This window comes from Homo sapiens, chromosome 6 (genome assembly GCF_000001405.40).
Source record: "Homo sapiens chromosome 6, GRCh38.p14 Primary Assembly".
NCBI classification, from domain to species: domain Eukaryota; kingdom Metazoa; phylum Chordata; class Mammalia; order Primates; family Hominidae; genus Homo; species Homo sapiens.
In genome coordinates this window covers 35,238,603-35,255,416 of record NC_000006.12, presented here as the reverse complement: position 1 = coordinate 35,255,416, position 16,814 = coordinate 35,238,603, and the positions used below count along the sequence as shown (strand labels likewise).

At 49.0% G+C, this 16,814-nt stretch overlaps 1 protein-coding gene and 1 long non-coding RNA gene across 10 annotated transcripts in view, besides 4 other annotated features; one reads left to right on the top strand and one right to left on the bottom strand.

The window, feature by feature from the left end:
- The window catches only part of SCUBE3-AS1 (SCUBE3 antisense RNA 1), a 39,086-nt gene that overhangs the window by 4,039 nt on the left and 18,233 nt on the right, over positions 1-16,814 (top strand). Inside the window, exons 2-3 of one of the 4 annotated variants that reach the window (XR_001744102.2) lie at positions 9,158-9,228; positions 10,987-11,069. This is a non-coding gene — a long non-coding RNA (SCUBE3 antisense RNA 1). Of the gene's footprint in view, positions 1-8,644; positions 9,229-10,986; positions 16,710-16,814 lie in introns of those variants that run through there. The other 3 variants (XR_007059559.1, XR_001744099.2, XR_007059558.1) reach the window with 3 other exon arrangements.
- SCUBE3 (signal peptide, CUB domain and EGF like domain containing 3) overlaps positions 2,338-16,814 on the bottom strand; it is a 39,124-nt gene continuing 24,647 nt past the window's right edge. For 4 of the 6 annotated variants that reach the window (XM_005248943.2, NM_152753.4, NM_001303136.2 and 1 more), the window contains 15 exons: positions 15,543-15,665; positions 14,927-15,043; positions 14,151-14,276; positions 13,758-13,874; positions 13,507-13,611; positions 13,097-13,213; positions 12,637-12,795; positions 12,181-12,396; positions 11,662-11,823; positions 11,287-11,454; positions 10,606-10,767; positions 9,992-10,189; positions 9,321-9,473; positions 9,132-9,211; positions 2,338-6,861 (listed from right to left, as the gene is read on the bottom strand). In XM_005248943.2, coding sequence (XP_005249000.1) covers positions 6,712-6,861; positions 9,132-9,211; positions 9,321-9,473; positions 9,992-10,189; positions 10,606-10,767; positions 11,287-11,454; positions 11,662-11,823; positions 12,181-12,396; positions 12,637-12,795; positions 13,097-13,213; positions 13,507-13,611; positions 13,758-13,874; positions 14,151-14,276; positions 14,927-15,043; positions 15,543-15,665 — 2,153 coding nt within the window. In that variant the 3' untranslated portion in view covers positions 2,338-6,711. The remainder of the gene's footprint in view (positions 6,862-9,131; positions 9,212-9,320; positions 9,474-9,991; positions 10,190-10,605; positions 10,768-11,286; positions 11,455-11,661; positions 11,824-12,180; positions 12,397-12,636; positions 12,796-13,096; positions 13,214-13,506; positions 13,612-13,757; positions 13,875-14,150; positions 14,277-14,926; positions 15,044-15,542; positions 15,666-16,814) is intronic. The other 2 variants (XM_005248947.2, XM_047418383.1) reach the window with 1 other exon arrangement.
- Positions 7,186-7,625: an enhancer, noted in NCBI's record as "active region_24396". NCBI's record gives its function as "activates an Ori minimal core promoter by ATAC-STARR-seq in GM12878 lymphoblastoid cells {active_cell/tissue: GM12878}" and the evidence as "EXISTENCE:reporter gene assay evidence [ECO:0000049][PMID:35858748]".
- Positions 10,926-12,125: an enhancer, noted in NCBI's record as "CDK7 strongly-dependent group 2 enhancer chr6:35211069-35212268 (GRCh37/hg19 assembly coordinates)". NCBI's record gives its function as "activates an origin of replication core promoter dependent on BRD2, BRD4, P300/CBP, MED14 and CDK7 cofactors, with strong dependence on CDK7, by STARR-seq in HCT116 cells {active_cell/tissue: HCT116}" and the evidence as "EXISTENCE:reporter gene assay evidence [ECO:0000049][PMID:35650434]".
- Positions 14,045-14,174: a silencer, noted in NCBI's record as "silent region_17085". NCBI's record gives its function as "represses an Ori minimal core promoter by ATAC-STARR-seq in GM12878 lymphoblastoid cells {active_cell/tissue: GM12878}" and the evidence as "EXISTENCE:reporter gene assay evidence [ECO:0000049][PMID:35858748]".
- Positions 16,311-16,605: a silencer, noted in NCBI's record as "tiled region #1078; HepG2 Repressive non-DNase unmatched - State 23:Low". NCBI's record gives its function as "represses a minimal TATA promoter and a strong SV40 promoter by Sharpr-MPRA in HepG2 cells {active_cell/tissue: HepG2}" and the evidence as "EXISTENCE:reporter gene assay evidence [ECO:0000049][PMID:27701403]".

The following is a 16,814-nucleotide window of genomic DNA, read 5'->3' as shown; positions in this document are numbered from 1 at the left end:
AAGACTGATTGCAATGGGAATATTTTGATATGAAGTGGAAAATAATTGCTCCCTCCAAGCTCCTCAGGTTTTTACACCCTGGACCATGCATCAAGATTCAGTGTAGGGGAGAGACATTCCTTTCTTTTGTAAAGTAGGACAAGGACTATGGTGAAAGTGGGGGCAGTGGTAGAGTGGAGAATGTGCATGAATATGTCAGCTGGCTCCCAAATGGATTGGTTTTTAGAATTTTTTTTTTTTTTTTTTTTTGAGACGGAGCCTCGCTCTGTCACCCAGGCTGGAGTGCAATGGCATGATCTCAGCTCACTGTAACCTCTGCCTCCCGGGTTCAAGCGATTCTCCTGCCTCAGCCTCCTGAGTAGCTGGGATTATAGGCGCGTGCCACCACGCCCGGCTAATTTTTGTATTTTTAGTAGAGATGGGGTTTCACCTTGTTGGTCATGCTGGTCTCAAACTCCTGACCTTGTGATCTGCCTGTCTTGGCCTCCCAAAGTGCGGGGATTACAAGCATGAGCCACTGTGCCTGGCCGTTTTTTTTGTTTTTGTTTTTGTTTTTTGAGATGAAGTTTTGCTCCTGTTGCCCAGGCTGGAGTGCAGTGGCACGACCTCGGCTCACTGCCACCTCCGCCTCCTGGGTTCAAGCGATTCTCATGCCTCAGCCTGCCAAGTAGCTGGGATTACAGGTGCCTGCCACCACGCCCGGCTGTTTGTTTTTTTTTTTTTCTGAGATGGAGTCTTGCTCTGTTACCCAGGCTGGAGTGCAGTGGCCCAATTCAGCTCCCTGCAACCTCCCCTTCCTGGGTTCAAGAGATTCTCCTGCCTCAGCCTCCCAGGTAGCTATAATTACAGGTGTGCACTGCCACACCCGGTTAATTTTTGTATTTTTAGTAGAAATGGGGTTTCACTATGTTGGCCAGGCTGGTCTCAAACTCTTACCTCAGGCGATCCGCCCGCTACAGCCTCCCAAAGTGCTGGGATTACAGGTGTGAGCCAGTGCACCCGGCCTGGTTTTAGAAAATATTTTATAGGGAAGTTGAGGATCTGGAAATTTATTCCTTTAAAACTCTCCTCAGACTGATTTGAGGCTATTTCCTGGGTATTCCTTGCAGTCTTACGTACCCTAGGAAAAATCTTCATTTACCCCACTTGGAAGACTTCTTAATATAGGCATATCCAAACTCCAATGTCCCTGACTATCCATTATTTTGAGACACCAAAGCAAATGTCCTACGAAGTAAGGAGGAAGACGTGTTGTTCTTAGAATAGAAGTGAGTTATGAGAGAAGTCAAAGAGGATGGCTCCAAGTTGGTATAGTGTGAAGGTCATGGATATGGTCCTTGGCTTTGCAGTTCTAGAAGTGTGATTTTGGGTCAGTCCACACAAAGGTGTTCATGTTTTGTCACATTAAATCAAACTCATAGGAAGTTAATGTACATAATAGAATGCCAGTGCATTCTTTTATACTTACAGCCACCAAGTGAACTGGATTATCGCTCCTGTTGGGTAAATCTTATCTGGGAAGATCAATTATAATCAGAAAGTTACATGAGGAGTGTGGATCTTGAGCATGGCTATTGTCAATAAGCTGATGAGCAGGTGCTCACTACCTGGCATATAATAGGATCTCAGTAATTATGGAATGAATGTACTTCATCTGTATCTTCATTATAGATGCTAAAGGGTAAGTTTAAGATTCTGATAGGCCACCCCACATGTTTTTTGATCAGGTAGATTTTTCCTTGTTGCTCAAGTTATACTCTTAAATGGCTATATCATGTAGATATTAAATCCAATAAAATTTCATGAAAGGGAATTATATAATTGCAACAGCAAAGTTTTATCTATATCTCTGAGCCTAGAAATTGGGACTGTTCATTTATAATAGAGATTGGAGATTGCTTTCTCCTGCCCTGTAGGAGTAGTGATGGTGGTAGTGACTAAATGATCTGTATTTCACAATACTATTTGGTGGCTAAGAGTGTACTGCATACAAAGAATGACACTGGGTGACCCTCAGTGCTGGCGCTTTCCTAGAGGTGGGACATCCTGAGTAGGGAGGTGCTGAACCACCTGTGGGCTGGCCAGCTGTTGTGGACTGTACTGTGGAGAGGAGGAACAATAAATTTCCCCCACTCCTTAGATCCCCCTCAGGAGATAATACTTGATGCTGCTTTTAAGGACAGAGAAAAGACAAGCCTTTTCAAATTTTAAAATCATTAGGGATGAGTTGCCAAAAAATTTGGGTTAAGTTTTATCTGGAAGCCAGAAGACATTGTCTCCTCAAGGCTTTTTCTGGCTCTGGGATAAGCTATTGAGATAGAGGAAAAGATGCCGGGCTGAGGAGTTTCATTTAGTATTTTAATAATAATAAAAAAGACATACAAAATCCAAACATTTCTTTTTACAATTCAGATACATATTTTTCCCCAAGTGCAAAATACTCTATGAACTGCATCATTTGCTGTTTATTGTCGATTGTATAGGAGATGCTTACTAAATTGGCAGCAGTGGAAGGCAGATATAAATACAATATTTTGAAATTTCTTCTGCATTTAACAAAAAGCCTCCCACATGGCGATGATTATTCTGAAACTTGAGTTCAGCTCACACAGAAGTATAAAGTTTTCAGTTTGTTCAAACTGCTACAACCTGTGGTGTCTAAAAAAGCTGATGACAACTGGGGGTTCTATTCCTTCTAATCATATATTTCCTTGTACAAATAATGGCACAAGGATAGGGTGTGCTACTTTTGAGACGGGTCAAATGTAAAAATATCCTTGTGTTGTTCGCTCCCACTTTTATTGTGCTTAAGAAAGAAACCTGGAGGGTTAACATTTTCTGCTTATGCTCAGTTATACTTTGTCTTGGTACCCCTTGTTTGTGGCTGTAATATTGAGGTTAAGCAGCAAATACAAAAGTTCGAGTGCTCTATAACGTTTTCTGACATTTTGAGATATGACCTCATAATCCATTCCAGAGTCACCTCAAACATGTATATAGAGAACACTTCTCATATAAAAAGTTTCTCTAGGGCCAAAGACCAGGACTGTGTTACTGAACTTTCAGCAACAAATCTGAGTCTCCACCACCTCAAACTGACCAAATCTTGGGGGCTGTTAAAGCAGTCACAGCTCAGTGCCAGCCTTTGGGGATTTCTAGGCCTGGAGCAGGCAGCTCAGATCCAGGATCTGGTCAGTTTTCTTCTGACTCCAAGAGTTGTCTCAGGTTGTAGGAATAGGCATGGCCTGATAATATAGAAAGAGGGAGGCAGAGAAGTAAAGAGGAACTGCCATGTTGCTGAGGATATAAGTGCCTTTCTGGTGTGCATTACTTGGTGCGTGAAGCCCTCCCATTTCCAGGCTCAGAGCAGGTGAGGTTTTGTACTAAGATGAATGGAAGCCCCACAATACTGTCGCCCCACACCCTACACGCTGCAGAGAGGCCTCTGGGTTGCTTCATGAAGGGATCCTATTTATACCATCTTTCCATTTCCCTCCAATGGTAAAAACCTCTCTTCTGTCTGACCTGTAAAGACCTAGAATGTCCCTGAGCGTTGACTCCTCATTCAATCCAGTTAACCCCTAGTTTGATGTCCCAGGGCCAGCCTCCTCCATAGATTCAGCAGCAGCTTTGCCTGGGTTCTTAACCCTCCAACTTGGAGGACCTAAATTAAACTTGGTGGACAATAGCAGGTTTTTACCTGCTCACCAAGATCTGCCTTGACATCAATTAAGAAGCCTAGTGGTCTATGCCTTCCGTACTGTGGAACTCATTTGCAGGTCTCATAAGCCATGGAATAAATGGTTGAAGGATGTGTATTTGTATGTATGTATGCATGGTGTGACAGGAAAGGAAGGGAGAAAGGAGAAGCCAGACCCTGAAGGCATAAATTAAGAAGCATGGTCACCGTTTGGCTTTCCAAGAGACGCAAAACGGCTGGCAGAGAGGAATCAGAAAGTTATCCTAGGCTGGGCGCGGTGGCTCATGCCTGTAATCCCAGCACTTTGGGAGACTGAGGCGGGTGGATCACCTGAGGTCAAGAGTTCAAGACCAGCCCGGGCAACATGGTGAAACCCCATCTCTACTAAAAATACAAAAATTAGCTGGGCGCGGTGGCGCATGCCTGTAATCCCAGCTACTTGGGAGGCCGAGGCAGAATTGCTTGAGCCTGGGAGGCGGAGGTTGCAGTAGGCCGAGATAGCACCATTACACTCCAGCCTGGGTGACAGAGCGAGACTCCATCTCAAAAAAAAAAAAAAAAAAAAAGAAAGAAAGAAAGAAAGTTATCCTAGCTTCTGGTGGAGAATTAGGATAGTCAGAGTTGATTAAAGCAGTTTTCATGGTGCTTCCTGGGAAGTACAGAGACACTCATACTAAATGACCATTTCCCTTGTTTGGAAGCAGCCATTTTGCATCTTTACAGTGGCCCTCCTTGACCCAGAAAGACAAAGGTAGCCAGACACTCTACCCACAAGGACCATGATGTTGGCTAATGGTTGTCAGGGAATCTAGCTGTGTCATTGGCTACCTACTGCTATGGCCGTTTTGGCTGATGAATGCTACTGATGGGAGGGCAGGGAGTCAGACTCCTTTATTTAGTGTTGAGTCTCCTGGGGGAGCAGTAGCCTAGGACAGTCACCTAGAAATGAACCTGAGCTGTTCTGTGAGTTACCAGGAGAGTTAAAAAGAAAAAAAAAAAAAAAAGAAATGAACCTGAGGACTCAGTTGGTAGCCTTTGATTGATTGGGACTACAGCTTTGGGGGAACTAGAGTGAGAAAACAGAAAATAATTTTATAGGCAACACTTGGATTAAGGGCAGAATGTGTGCAGGCTTTGGGCTTGGGCATGGACTTGATTCTTCTTCCATTTGATTCTTTCTTCCTTCTGAAAAACAGTAGTTGAGGAAGCTAAGCTTGAAGTCAACTTCAAAGGGAAGTGACCAGAGCCAGGCAAATATCTGATGCCTTCTGTCTTATTCTTGGCTCCCACAGCTTTGTCTCTGGCCTCGGGACCCTGAGTCAGCCCATCCCCAGGTGGTATGTCCTGGTCCTCTTCCATGTGTACACCAGGGGATAACAGGATGAAGACAGGGAAAAGATGGAGGTTTTCCCTACTTGGGGTAGAGAATCACTGACCAGTTCCATTGGCCTCTATAATCATGAGGTCCACACTGACTCCATGGAGAGGCATAGGGATAGCAAGATTGGTTTAGCAAACATAGGTCTCTCTCCTTTCTGCTCCATCAAATCCCCAGAATTACTTTCCTACACATCAGATGCCTCTGCGCAATTACCCTGGATTACCACAGCCAAGGGCTCTAGGTGGCCAGTGGTGGCATAGAGACAGATCAGATGCTCCAGCACTCAAGGTTCATGAGATTCAAAACCGATTTTCTTCCACTCCAAACATACACTCTTTTCTCTTGGGCAGCTATAAATAGGGTTTTGCTAATAGAGGAAGAAGAAACAAAAACAAAAAACAAACCCAGAAAACAAAAACCCCTCCGTCTAGACAACATAGAAAGACTCAAAATGATTGCACTTATTAGGTGTGGACAGGGTGGGCAGGAGGCTCGCCAAGTGCACACACATTCCTTTTGCTGCCCACAGCCTGAGGCCAGAGGTAGGTGGCTCCAGGCTGGCTTCAGAGTGGGGTCCTCTTTGGTGAAGCCCACAAGCCAGCTGGGGCTACAAGGGAAAAACAACTGTAGGGCAAGGCCTAGGCTGGCTTCAGGTCAATAACCATGTTTAAGGACAACATGTAGCAAGGGGAGTAGGGCTCCCCCAGGGAGCATCACATGGGGCTGAGGAGGTGGCTGGGCCAGGGAAGACAAGAAAAGGGATTAGTGTTTGAAGTTGACTTCCAATTGTTCTGTGTCTAGTCCTTTAGATGATACATTTTTTCTTTCTGTTTTCTTTTTTTTGGCAATGCTTTAAAACCTTGTTTCTGTCCTGCAGAGTTACAGTCTTTCTCTCAGGGAGCTACAGCGGGGCATTCACCATGACAATGCCTGCTGCTCTTCCTCATTTAGCCGGTGTCCACTAACTCAGTGTTGTGGGCCATTTGTAAACCCTTATGGAGTAGACCCCAGGCAGACGTAGGGAAAGAAAGAGAGGATCTGTATAGACAAGAAAGCTGGCCATGTGGGAAGTCCAGAGCTCAAACCATGTGCCCCAGAGGACTGGTGCTGGCATTAAGCCTGTAAATCAAAGGCTTCTTTGGCAGGACCCTGGGCTGTTAGAATCACCCTAGGGAGCAGAGCCAGGGGACATTTTGGCCCCTGACTAGCAAGGCACAACCCTATAATGGCAGAAGCCCTTCTTTCCCCTCCCCGTTTCCCACCAGACCCACTTCCTTGATGGGCCTCTAGCACCCTTCCAAGCTGATGGGGTCGGGAATGTGAGCTGGTAAAATGGGCAGTGGAAGGGGCTGTACTGTTTCTTTACATCTCACGGGGACTAGAGCCAGTACTGAATGGCTTTTCTAGGTAGTGTGTTAGAAAAGGGGGAACAGTAGAGAGGCAGGCAGAGAGAGACAAGGAAAGGAAACTAGAAAGACAGAAAGGGAGAGTGCCTGGTTTGTGTAGTGATATTTTTTTTTTCCCTCCAAAAAGAGAGGAGAGAGTTCCTTGTCTGAGGGTAGGGGGCTGCCGGCTCTGAGGGCTAAGGAGTCTGGGGGCTTAAAAAATTGGGTCTCTGAGCCTAGGGTTACTATTTGTAGGGCCTCAGGAAGCTGGAAACTTTGGAGCGGAGCAGCTTGATGAAGGATTTTGGCAGCATCTCCTTGTGTTTCTCTGTGTACTTGAAGTAGTTCTGGGGGTGGGCTAGCACCTCAAAGAAGGCCTTGATGAGCTTCTTGTCCTGCAAAGGATGGCAGGGAGCAATGTCAGCCTCACCGTCGGGGGTGGGAAAGAGAAACACCATGACTCAGCAGCCCTTCTTGATGTCTACTAGGCATCCTATACTGAATATATCCAGAGGGCAACTCTGGATTCCCATTCCCACCATCTGCCCTTATTCTGGAATTCCACAACTGAATCAGTGGCAGCTCCATCCTTCTGTTGCTTAGGCCCCAATCCTTGGAGCCATCCTTGAATCCTCTTTCTTGCTTACAAGTATAGCAAATCCTATTGACTCTACCTTCAAAATATGTCTGGGTCTGACCACTTATCATCTTCCCAAGCCACCACTGTCTCTGACTTGGAGTACTGTAGTAGCCTCCTAACTGGTCTCCATGCTACCTTTGTCCCTCCGTAGACTCTTCTCCCCACAGCAGCCAGAGTGACTTTTTGTGTTTTTAATTAGTTCATCTTTTTCCTGTTTGAAACTCTTCTCTGGTTTCTTTTATCACTCATTGGCAGAATGTGATCTGTATCTTGCTTTCCACCTCCACTCTTGCTCCCTCTGCTGAGCCACACTGGCCTTCTGGAGGTTCCTGAACACACTAAATTGCTCCCATGCTCCTTAGCTTGGAATGCTCCTCCCTCATCTTCTAATGGGGAGCCCTTTTACCTCATTTGGGTCTCTTCTCCTTAGAGGCCTTTCCTGACCACCCTGTCTACAACAGTAGCATGGTATGTGGAGAGCCTACTAGGTGCCAGGCACTGTGCATTAAAACTCAGGTCTTCTGGCTCCTAGGCTGGTGCTCCTTCCATGGCGTCAGTGGATTTTTCAAATAAGAAGTAGGGGTTTCAGCCTCTTACCCCACTTTAATCAGAACAGCTGCACTGCTTTATGTGTTGGAATTCCACAGTACATTTGATTTGAAATAAGGGTTCAGATGCTTTAAAAATGTTTGAAAAGTATTATTAAAAGTATATTCTTTGAAGTCTGCAAGTTCTAGGTGATTTTTGTTGTCAAGGCTTTTATTTTGATGATAATATAAAAATATTTTGCTAACACTTAACTTTTTTGCAGTGATAATTTATGAAGGATAATTCTATGACTACGACTATAGTTTCCTTTTTTTTTTTTTTTTGAGACTGAGTCTAACTCTTGTTGCCCAGGCTGGAGTGCAATGGCATGATATCAGCTCACTGCAACCTCTGCCTCCCCGGTCCAAGCAATTCTCCTGCCTCAGGGTCCCGAGTAGCTGGGATTGCAGGCGCCCGCCACCACACCCAGCTAATTTTTTGTATTTTTTTAGTAAAGACGGGGTTTCACTATGTTGGCCAGGCTGGTCTGGAACTCCTGACCTCAGGCGATCCACCCGCCTCAGCCCCCCAAAGTGCTGGGATTACAGGCATGATCCACCATGCGCAGCCAGACTATAGTTTCTTAAGGAAGATTTTCTTAAATTGGGATTCACCGACCCAGGGCATCTAGTCCATTCTTCCATGTTGGAAGTATTTATTTTCCTTGAAAAGAAGTCTGTACATAAATTGATTCTGAGAAAGCTGTGCTAGATCTGCCGCTGCTTTTTTTGTTTTTGTTTTTTTGAGACAGGGTTCACTCTTGTCACCCAGGCTGGAGTGCGATGGCGCCATCTCGGCTCACTGCAACCTGCGCCTCCTGAGTTCAAGCAATTCTCCTGCCTCAGCCTCCTGAGTAGCTGGGATTACAGGCGCCTGCCACCGCACCCGGATAATTTTGTATTTTTACAAAATTAAGACGAGGTTTCACCATGTTGGCCAGGCTGGTCTCAAACTCCTGACCTCATGTGATCCACCCGCCTCGGCCTCCCAAAGTGCTGGGATGACAGGCGTGAACCACCACACGCAGCCTATCTGCTGCTGCTTAATGAGGCCTGGGGAGAGAATAGGGGAAGGAAGGGACTTATGCAAAAGTATCTTTCTATACTTCACTTTCCCTATGTCTCTTGGAAGAGGTAGGGACATTTCTTCTCCTCACTTTCCCTTTCTCTTCCAAGTTTTCCCCAAGGTGTAATATAGTGTGGGTGACGCTGCAGTCGGATAGGCTTGGGCTCAAATCCCAGCTTCCCATGGGGCAGGTTCTTTAACTCTCTATACCCCAGTTTTCCCATCTGTAAAGAAGCAATGGAGAAAGCACCTACCTCATAGAGCTATTGTGTCTATCAAGTGAGAATATTCATGTAAGCACTTAGCCTATTGCCTATATATTGTTACATGCTTATTAAATGTTAGCTATCATTATTGTTAATATTCATTCACCTTTAAAATCTCCTGGTGGTTTTCAGAGGCATAGAGCCGGCCATCTCGCACAATGTCTTCTACCAGCTGCTCATAGTCCTCTGCAAAGTCAACCAAGGTGAGGGGCTCAGGGGCGGGAGCTCTTCCTGCTCTCCTGGTTCCCTCTCAAAACTGACATACCTCCCCTTCTCACCCACCTCCTTGGCTTACCATCATAGGTAACATAGGGAATCTGGAAGCCACGGGCGCTGTTGGCCTCGCTTGTCTTGAAGTTGATCCAGAGCTTCCTGGAACGGGCAGTGAAGGCAATGGGACGCTCGTAGGTCTGGCAGGTCTCATAAGTGGTAATGGAGGATGGGGATGCTGGGAAGGCAAGCAGCAGGTCAGTAGAGCAGCAGGGCAGGCTACCCAAGCCCTCCTAGAACGTGGGCTGTACAGCTGGTGGTGGGGGTATAGGGCAAGAGAATCATTCTGACAAAGGCTCCCCCTTCGCATACACACACCCTACCCCACACCCTCTCCCATTGCCCACTGGGCTCATTCCACAATTCCTCCTTGATACCTGGGCACTCACATAGTGTAATAAATATGACATTTAAATGAATGGAATGGCAAAAATGCTAGGATAGGAAAGTGATACATGTAACGCCATTGGAGTTCTAGCCCCACTGCTAGCTTTCTTAACTCTGTTTTCTACCAAACATGTGTCATTGCTGTTTTCCTTTGTTAGCTTCTCTCTTCCTAAAGGCCTCTCACTATTTCACCCTCATAGATCCCTAACTTCACTGCCCCATTTCTTCCTGTATCAGTCTCTCTCTTTGTTCTCCGCCTTAACCAGATTTGGACTGCCCTTCCCTGGCCCAGCTCTGCAAGCCACCCACAGTTCTTTCTCATGACGAGGACGTCCCCACACTCATCCTCAGATGGCAGGAAGATCTCTGGTACCACGATAAGGATCTTGCGCTTGGGTGGGGGGTTGATGTTCCAGATGCACTCCACACCAGCTGGGTAGTTGCCCGGGTAGTTGGGGGACTCAATATAGCCAGTGAACTCACCCAGCTCCCCACCACACTGACGATCTGCAGCCAAACCCCAGTGGATAAAACAAGACAGAGAAGGGAAGTCAGTGGGGAAGTGTGCTGGGGGAATTGAAGAGTTCTGAAGTAGAGGTCAGACATTTATGGGAAGTCTGCGTTCTAGTTCATCATTATTTTCCAAGCTCTGAGTCCATCTTCCTTCCTGCCCTTTTAGTACCTTCTCTTCTCACTTCACCTGTCTCTGCTTCCTCATTAACTGTCTCCAGGGAGAGGGTGTTACAGGGTCCAGCCTAGCAACTGGCCTTGAGATTGAGTGAGTTGGGGAGAGGTGGAAGGTGGAGTTTTCCTGCTCCTCCACCCCCCAGCCCTGCTCCCTGTTGGTTTCACACCCCTCCTTTAGATGTCCACTGCTCCCAGGCCTCTCTCCTCCCTTTTGCACAGCCTGGCTTGCCACGTACTCTTGCATTGGGCCACACTGGTAGAGCCATCAAAGTCTGTGCTTGTGTTTCCTGGACAGCGGCTGCAGAAGTTCTGACGGAAGTCGGGCTGATAGGAGCCCATGGCACAGCGAATACAGCGGTGGATGCTGGTGTTGTAGTAGTGCCCTGGGGAGCACTGGACTGTAGGCAAGGGAGAAGGGCAGGAATCAAGATGGTAGGCAGGTGGGAGTTACGGGGCATGGGATGGACAGGATACATTCATCCTGGAGAATCAGGAGATCAGATACATCAAAGTTCTTTTCTAGGGTCTCAATCTTTCCCAGTCATGCCAGAATTTAAGCCCACGGAAAAACAGAGTTTACAGAGTGGTTGGCTACAGTGCCAATCCTTTTCTTTCAGACGCTGAGCACAGTGCCAAACCTATATAGAAACTCATTTGGGATATGGAGGAGAATATGCCACCAGTTCTCCAAAGTGGAGGGGTAAGTGGGACTGTTAATTATTTCTCAGTTCCCAAGCTTGGGACTAGTGGAGGGGCAGGGTGGGTCCTGGAAGCAGGATGGTATGGTTGGTCAAGTAGCTGGGCCCATTACTGGTTTGGAGAAAATGGTGGGTCAGTGTCCCCTCTGGGAAATTGGAGAGTTTTTTGGGAGTAGTTGGGGTTGGGGCATCCCCCAGGGAGGTGAGTAGCTTACTCACCTTTGGTGTCACAGTCTTGGAAGGAAATGGCCCCTTCATGCTTGGTGGTGAGGCCCCCACCACAAGGGAAGCATAGGGTCCGTCCTGCTTCAGGTTGGTAGGTGCCACGTGGGCATGGCTGACAGGGCTTGAACCCATCTACAGAGTGTTGGCCAGGTGGGCACTGACCTGCAATGAATCAAGGGCCCAACTCTGATGGGGATGGTCCTGAGTCATCCCCATGGGGTCACCCGATCTCAGGGGACAAAGGTATACAAACAGGATGTTGACTAAGAGAGTGGCCTGGAGCCTGGGCCTGCCCTTTGGGAAATCCCATGCCCATGGGCATCCCAGTGCCCACCCTACCCCACTCTGTATTGTTTGTTCCCCTGGCACCTGCACACGTGGTGACGTTGGTGGCTCCAAGAGGCCCGTGGGCATCACTCCCAGGGCAAAGGTCGCAGGAGAGCTGCCCTTCTCTCTCCTGGAAGGTGCCCGCTGGGCATGGCACACACTGCTCCGTCTGGCCGTGGTAATACGTTCCCTGCGGGCAGCTGACTGAGGGAGAGTCGGCCGCGCTAGCCACCCACCCCCGCATTTCCCACCACCCAGGCCTGGGACTCCCCTTCCCACTCCCCGCCACAACCCCCGATTCAGGGAGAATCTCTGTCAGGGAACAAACACAATCCTACTTGGGGGGATAGGAGGGTCAAAACCGTGTGCAGGAGGATTGCTGGCCCCACCTGGCATCCTTCTAGATTTCAGCCTGGAACCAAGGAAGGGAGGACAGCGGGCAGGAGCATCCTGGCTGCCTCATAATTTGAGAAATGCATCTGAGGCCACAAAGGGTCCTGCTCTGAGTCAGGCCCAAACTGGGTCTTTCCTACATCCCTGCTCCCCAGTAAGCTCCCTTACCACACTTGGTCCCAGCACGGTGCTGCCCGGGCCTACAGGACTCCATCGGCTCTGCTCGCTCCCCGGCTACCAGGCCCGGCTTGTGGGCCAGCTCATAATCAAGGCCTGCCAGGCGCAGCAGGAAGCGGTCCTGGTTGATGGACTTTCTGAGCATCTTCAGGGATCCTTTCAGCCGCCGTTCCATTCGCTGTCGGAGGCAGGGCAGCCCACAGCTGGCTGGTGGTGGATGGCCGTGTGTATCAGGGAGGAGAAAGAGTTGCTGTGAGCAGGAGGGCAGGGGAGCAAAGCTGGGAGCTAGGAGGGGCATGGTAAGAGGGACTAGCTTTTAGGCTTGGCACCAGGCAGGGTCTGCCCCTAGTACAGGCTCCATCCCTTCCTTTTGCTGCTGAGACCTGTGGTTTCCCCACCTCTGCCCTCCCCTTCCAGTCCTCTTCCCAACAGTGCCCCCAGTCCCACCTGTGGTTTCTTCGGCTCTGACCTCTGCCTCCAGTTCCAGGGTGAGCCTTGTGACCTCTTTGCCTGGAGGGGTCCGGGCCCGTCGGCCCTTGCCCTTCCGAGAGGAGTCACACTTAAGGTGGATGAAGGTGACCTGGCATTCAGAGCAGGGGGCACCACCTGGGAGAGAGGGCTTGTCAACCCCAGGGACATCCCCTGGAAAGTTCTCACTCCCAGCCCAGACAGACCTCCCCAGATCTCTAACTGTAACTATCTCTCAATCCTGTTTTAGTCTAGGGTCCTAATTAGTTGGTGGAGGGGAATATTCTGGGACTTCCTTGGGTGCTATGCCTACAGCTGCTTTTTCCTCTGCTCTGCCTAGAGTTCAGGGTTCTGGTGGGTTTTTGGAAGCAGAGGAGCTGAGGGGTAAGGAGGATTTAGTGGCCAGACAGCCAACTGGAATGGGGTCCCCAGTCCAAACCTGGCCCTGTGATTCTGCCAGCCTCCTCTGTTTTGCCTTTGTTTCGCAGGTGCAAACGGCATTTGGCATCCTTGATCTTGAAGGAGGCCCGTTGTTTAATGGACAGCACTGCAGCCTCTAGAGGGATGGTAGAAACTCAGCACAGTATGGGATGCCCATGGAGGTCGGGGGTGCCGTAGGGGTTGTTGAGAAGCTGGGTAATAAGCCAGGGGCTTGGCTGGGGGAGTGAGATTATGAAAGTCAAGGGGATCAGATGTTAGGGCAGAGGGAGTGAGGGAGCAGGGTTGGAGAATTACAGGGCAAAAAAGAGGATCCAGGAGAAAGGAAGGCCAGGGGATTGATGAAGAACAAAAATAAGGGATTAATGTAAGAGAGTAGGGTGGGAACAGGGCTTCTGGGCTGGTGCTTACCATGGCAGTGGTTGGAGTTGGTGCTGTTCCCATTGTGGCCAGCTCGGGCTGGAGCAGCCCTGGGGCTGGGGGTCCCACAGCTCACCGTGAAGCCATTCTCAGACTCTGAGAAAAGGAGCCTGTCACAGTTCTGACCTGCCTTCCCAACCCCCGCTGGCTGGAGGAATCCAGGGGGAATGAAGGAGCTGCCTGAACGGCCAGTCCTTCCTCTTTTCTCCTCCAAAGCTCTCCAGCACCCTCCTCCCATGTACCTGGCAAAAATCGGGCCCTGGAGGGACAGGTCAGGGCACAGGTGTCCTTCTTGCCAGACCGGTTGCAGCTGAGCATGGCTTTCGAGGCCCCAGGACTGCCCTGACACTTCAGTGGCTCTAGGAAGGGGAGAGAGGCCTGAGCAAATGAATGCATTCCTTTCCCTCAGTTGGGTAATTTGGAGGAATCAGCTACTTGCATAACTATTGTTGTACCCATGGAGACTGATGATGGGATTGTTTACTACAAATTTCATGTCTTTAACTCAAAATGGCTACATTCTCCACCCTTTCCACCTCACACCTTTCCCCAATGTGATACTCTATGCTTTCCAGAACCCCAACTGCTCCCTGAAATGGCAGTGTCATCTTTGGCCAGCAGAGGGCACTGCCCACCTGTGCAATCTTTGCCATTCCAGTGCAGCCGACCCTGGCCTGCTGGGCAGGTACACTGGTAGCTGCCAGGAGTGTTGATGCAGCCAAAGCGGCAACCTCCCCGGTTGATGCTGCATTCATCCACATCTGGGGGAAGGAGTAGGGAGACAGAAAAACAACGATGGAGTTGGAGGAGGAGCCGGAGAGTAGGCAGTGAGTGAGGGCCTTTGGTTAGAGTTTCAGGTACCCTGCATTACGCAAGATGAATAAGTTCGAGAGATCTACTGTACAACAGTGTGCCTATAGGCACATAAATACTGTAGTGTACACTTAAAAACTTAAGAGGGTAGATCTCTTGTTAAATATTCTTACAATTTAAAAAAGTTAAAAAGGCATTCTAGGCACTGTAAGATGACTACTGGCCTGAGAAGAGCTCAAACCTCCTCCAATTATCTCTGTCCCCAAAGGAATGATCGAGAAGGGGCCAAGCCAACAAGCTTTTTAAAGCCTTCCACTCCTCCCAACCAGTGAGACTGTCATTTGGGAGCTGAGAGTGGGGGTTCAGGGACAGTTATAGGAATGGGAGATAGGAATTTTGGAGGCAGGATGCTGTTTCCGCAGTCTCCCAGTTCTTCAAAAGCTGTCTTAATTCCTCCTATTTTGTCACAGCGGATGCAGACATGGTGCATGCATCCAGGGATTGCCCATAGCCACAAGCCAACACAAGGACCTGTTCAATTGGAGGGTGAAGAGGTGAGGGGGCCAGGGTGGCTGGGGGTGCAAGCTTACTAGCTTACCCCCACAGTGGGTGATACCATACAACAGGTAGCCACGATGGCAGAGACACTGGAAGCTTCCTGGTGTGTTGACACATATGTGGTCACAGGTTCGATCAAAGGAACACTCGTCTATATCTGGAAGAGCAAAGATTCAAGCCACTGAATCTGTCTTGGAGCACTTGACCCTTGCTCAGGTGAAGGACCCAAGTGAGGGGCCTTGGCTTTCCCCCTTGAACTGAAGAGTTCCTATTCATGTCCTAGCTCTAGGACCAGTGATTTAACAATGCCATTCCATCTTCTCTGCCCCCTCTATTTGAAGTCCTTGGAATTAGGAACTGCAAGATCTGGTGCCTTTAGGTCAGGGCCCACCATGTGTGGTTAGGTACGTCCTACTCTGCCAAGGATATGAATTGGGGTGAAATCCATCCCTCAGTCCTTGCCAGGCTGAATGCTTTGATATGGAGCTAGTCCGCTGAGGGGAAAGAGTACCATTTGCTAATTTGCAGGATGACACTGCCTCTAGAGACTCTGTGTGATATCTATTGAGTTTCTAAGACTTTAGCCCTCTGGCCTCCTTGAAGCTCTCCCACAAGAACCTCTCCTAAGGCTTTCACCTTTGGCTGAGTCTGCTCACCCTGGCAGTTCCTCTCATTGATGAGAAGCTTATAGCCTTTCTTGCAACTGCATTCGAAGCTGCCCACTGTGTTGCGGCAAATATGGTCACAGCCCCCGTTGTTTAAGCGGCACTCATCTATATCTGAAGAAGGAGGACAAAACAGGATAAAAGATACTATCAAAGGCTGAGAACAAACAAGGAGAAAGATCCCTCCCTCACTGACAGAGACATGCAAAAATCAAGGAGTCCTGGGCCTGCCTCTTCTTGATCTCTCTCTGTCTCTTTCTCTTTCTCTTTCCTGTCTCTCTCTCTCTTTCCTGTCTCTGTTTCTTCCCTGTTCAGGGGATCTGTGGCCATTAGTAACACCCTCTCTTCTGGGATTGAGTGTTCTTATAAGGGGACAAATTGGAACCAAAACTAGGAACAGGCCCTCAGGGAATTACCTAGAGGAGGGGCAGGTGGGCATTTGACCTAACAGGCTAGCCCTTAGTCTCCAGCTGATGGCCATTCCCTGAAAGGTTGGTGGGTAAGGGTTATCTCTTTCCTGTCCCTCAGGACGGGGGGTTGGGGGGGTGCGGGGCAAGGAGAGGTGGAGGGTCTAAAGGGACTCACTGAAAACGGGCAGCCCTTTAGGGAGGAGGAGGAGCTGGGAAAGAGGCCAGGCAGGGAGGACCTCCAGGAGAGCCAGTGAGGCTGGGTAGCTGATGGGGGAGGGCTGGGGGCCAGGCAAGGGGCTGGACTGGGAGAGATCTGGAGAGACTCAGGCCTGAGGCAGCTTTCAGCACTAGTAAGGGAAAGGGGGGCTGGTGAATGGCTTCCTTCCTGAGGTCAAGTTCCCCAAGCTGGTGGCAGACAGGACCCAGGCTACTCACCCCTGGTTGGGGGAAGGGGCAGGGAGGGCAGCCTTTCACTTCACTCTTAGCATACCTGTCAACAGTTCTTCCCAGCAGGAAACCTCTCAACTCTGGCTGGCTGACCTGCTGCCCTAGCCTCCCCCCTCCTCTCGCAGCTGTTGGGCCAAAAGACACAAAGAACGAGCCCAGTCCTCCTCGTCCCCACTCCTTGTGACCAGGGGATATGGACCTAATGAATCATCATTTTCAGTATGGCTACCCTGCCTTTTTCCTCCACCCTTTCCCCCCATTCTCCCTCAGACCTGGCTAATTAAAAGGAAGGGAAACAGAATGCATAATGTGGGTAACTATACTGTAATAACAGTTAACACAAAGTGTTTCCATTTGCCAAGCACTGTTCTAAGTACTTTTTATGTAATCACTCTTTTAATCACAA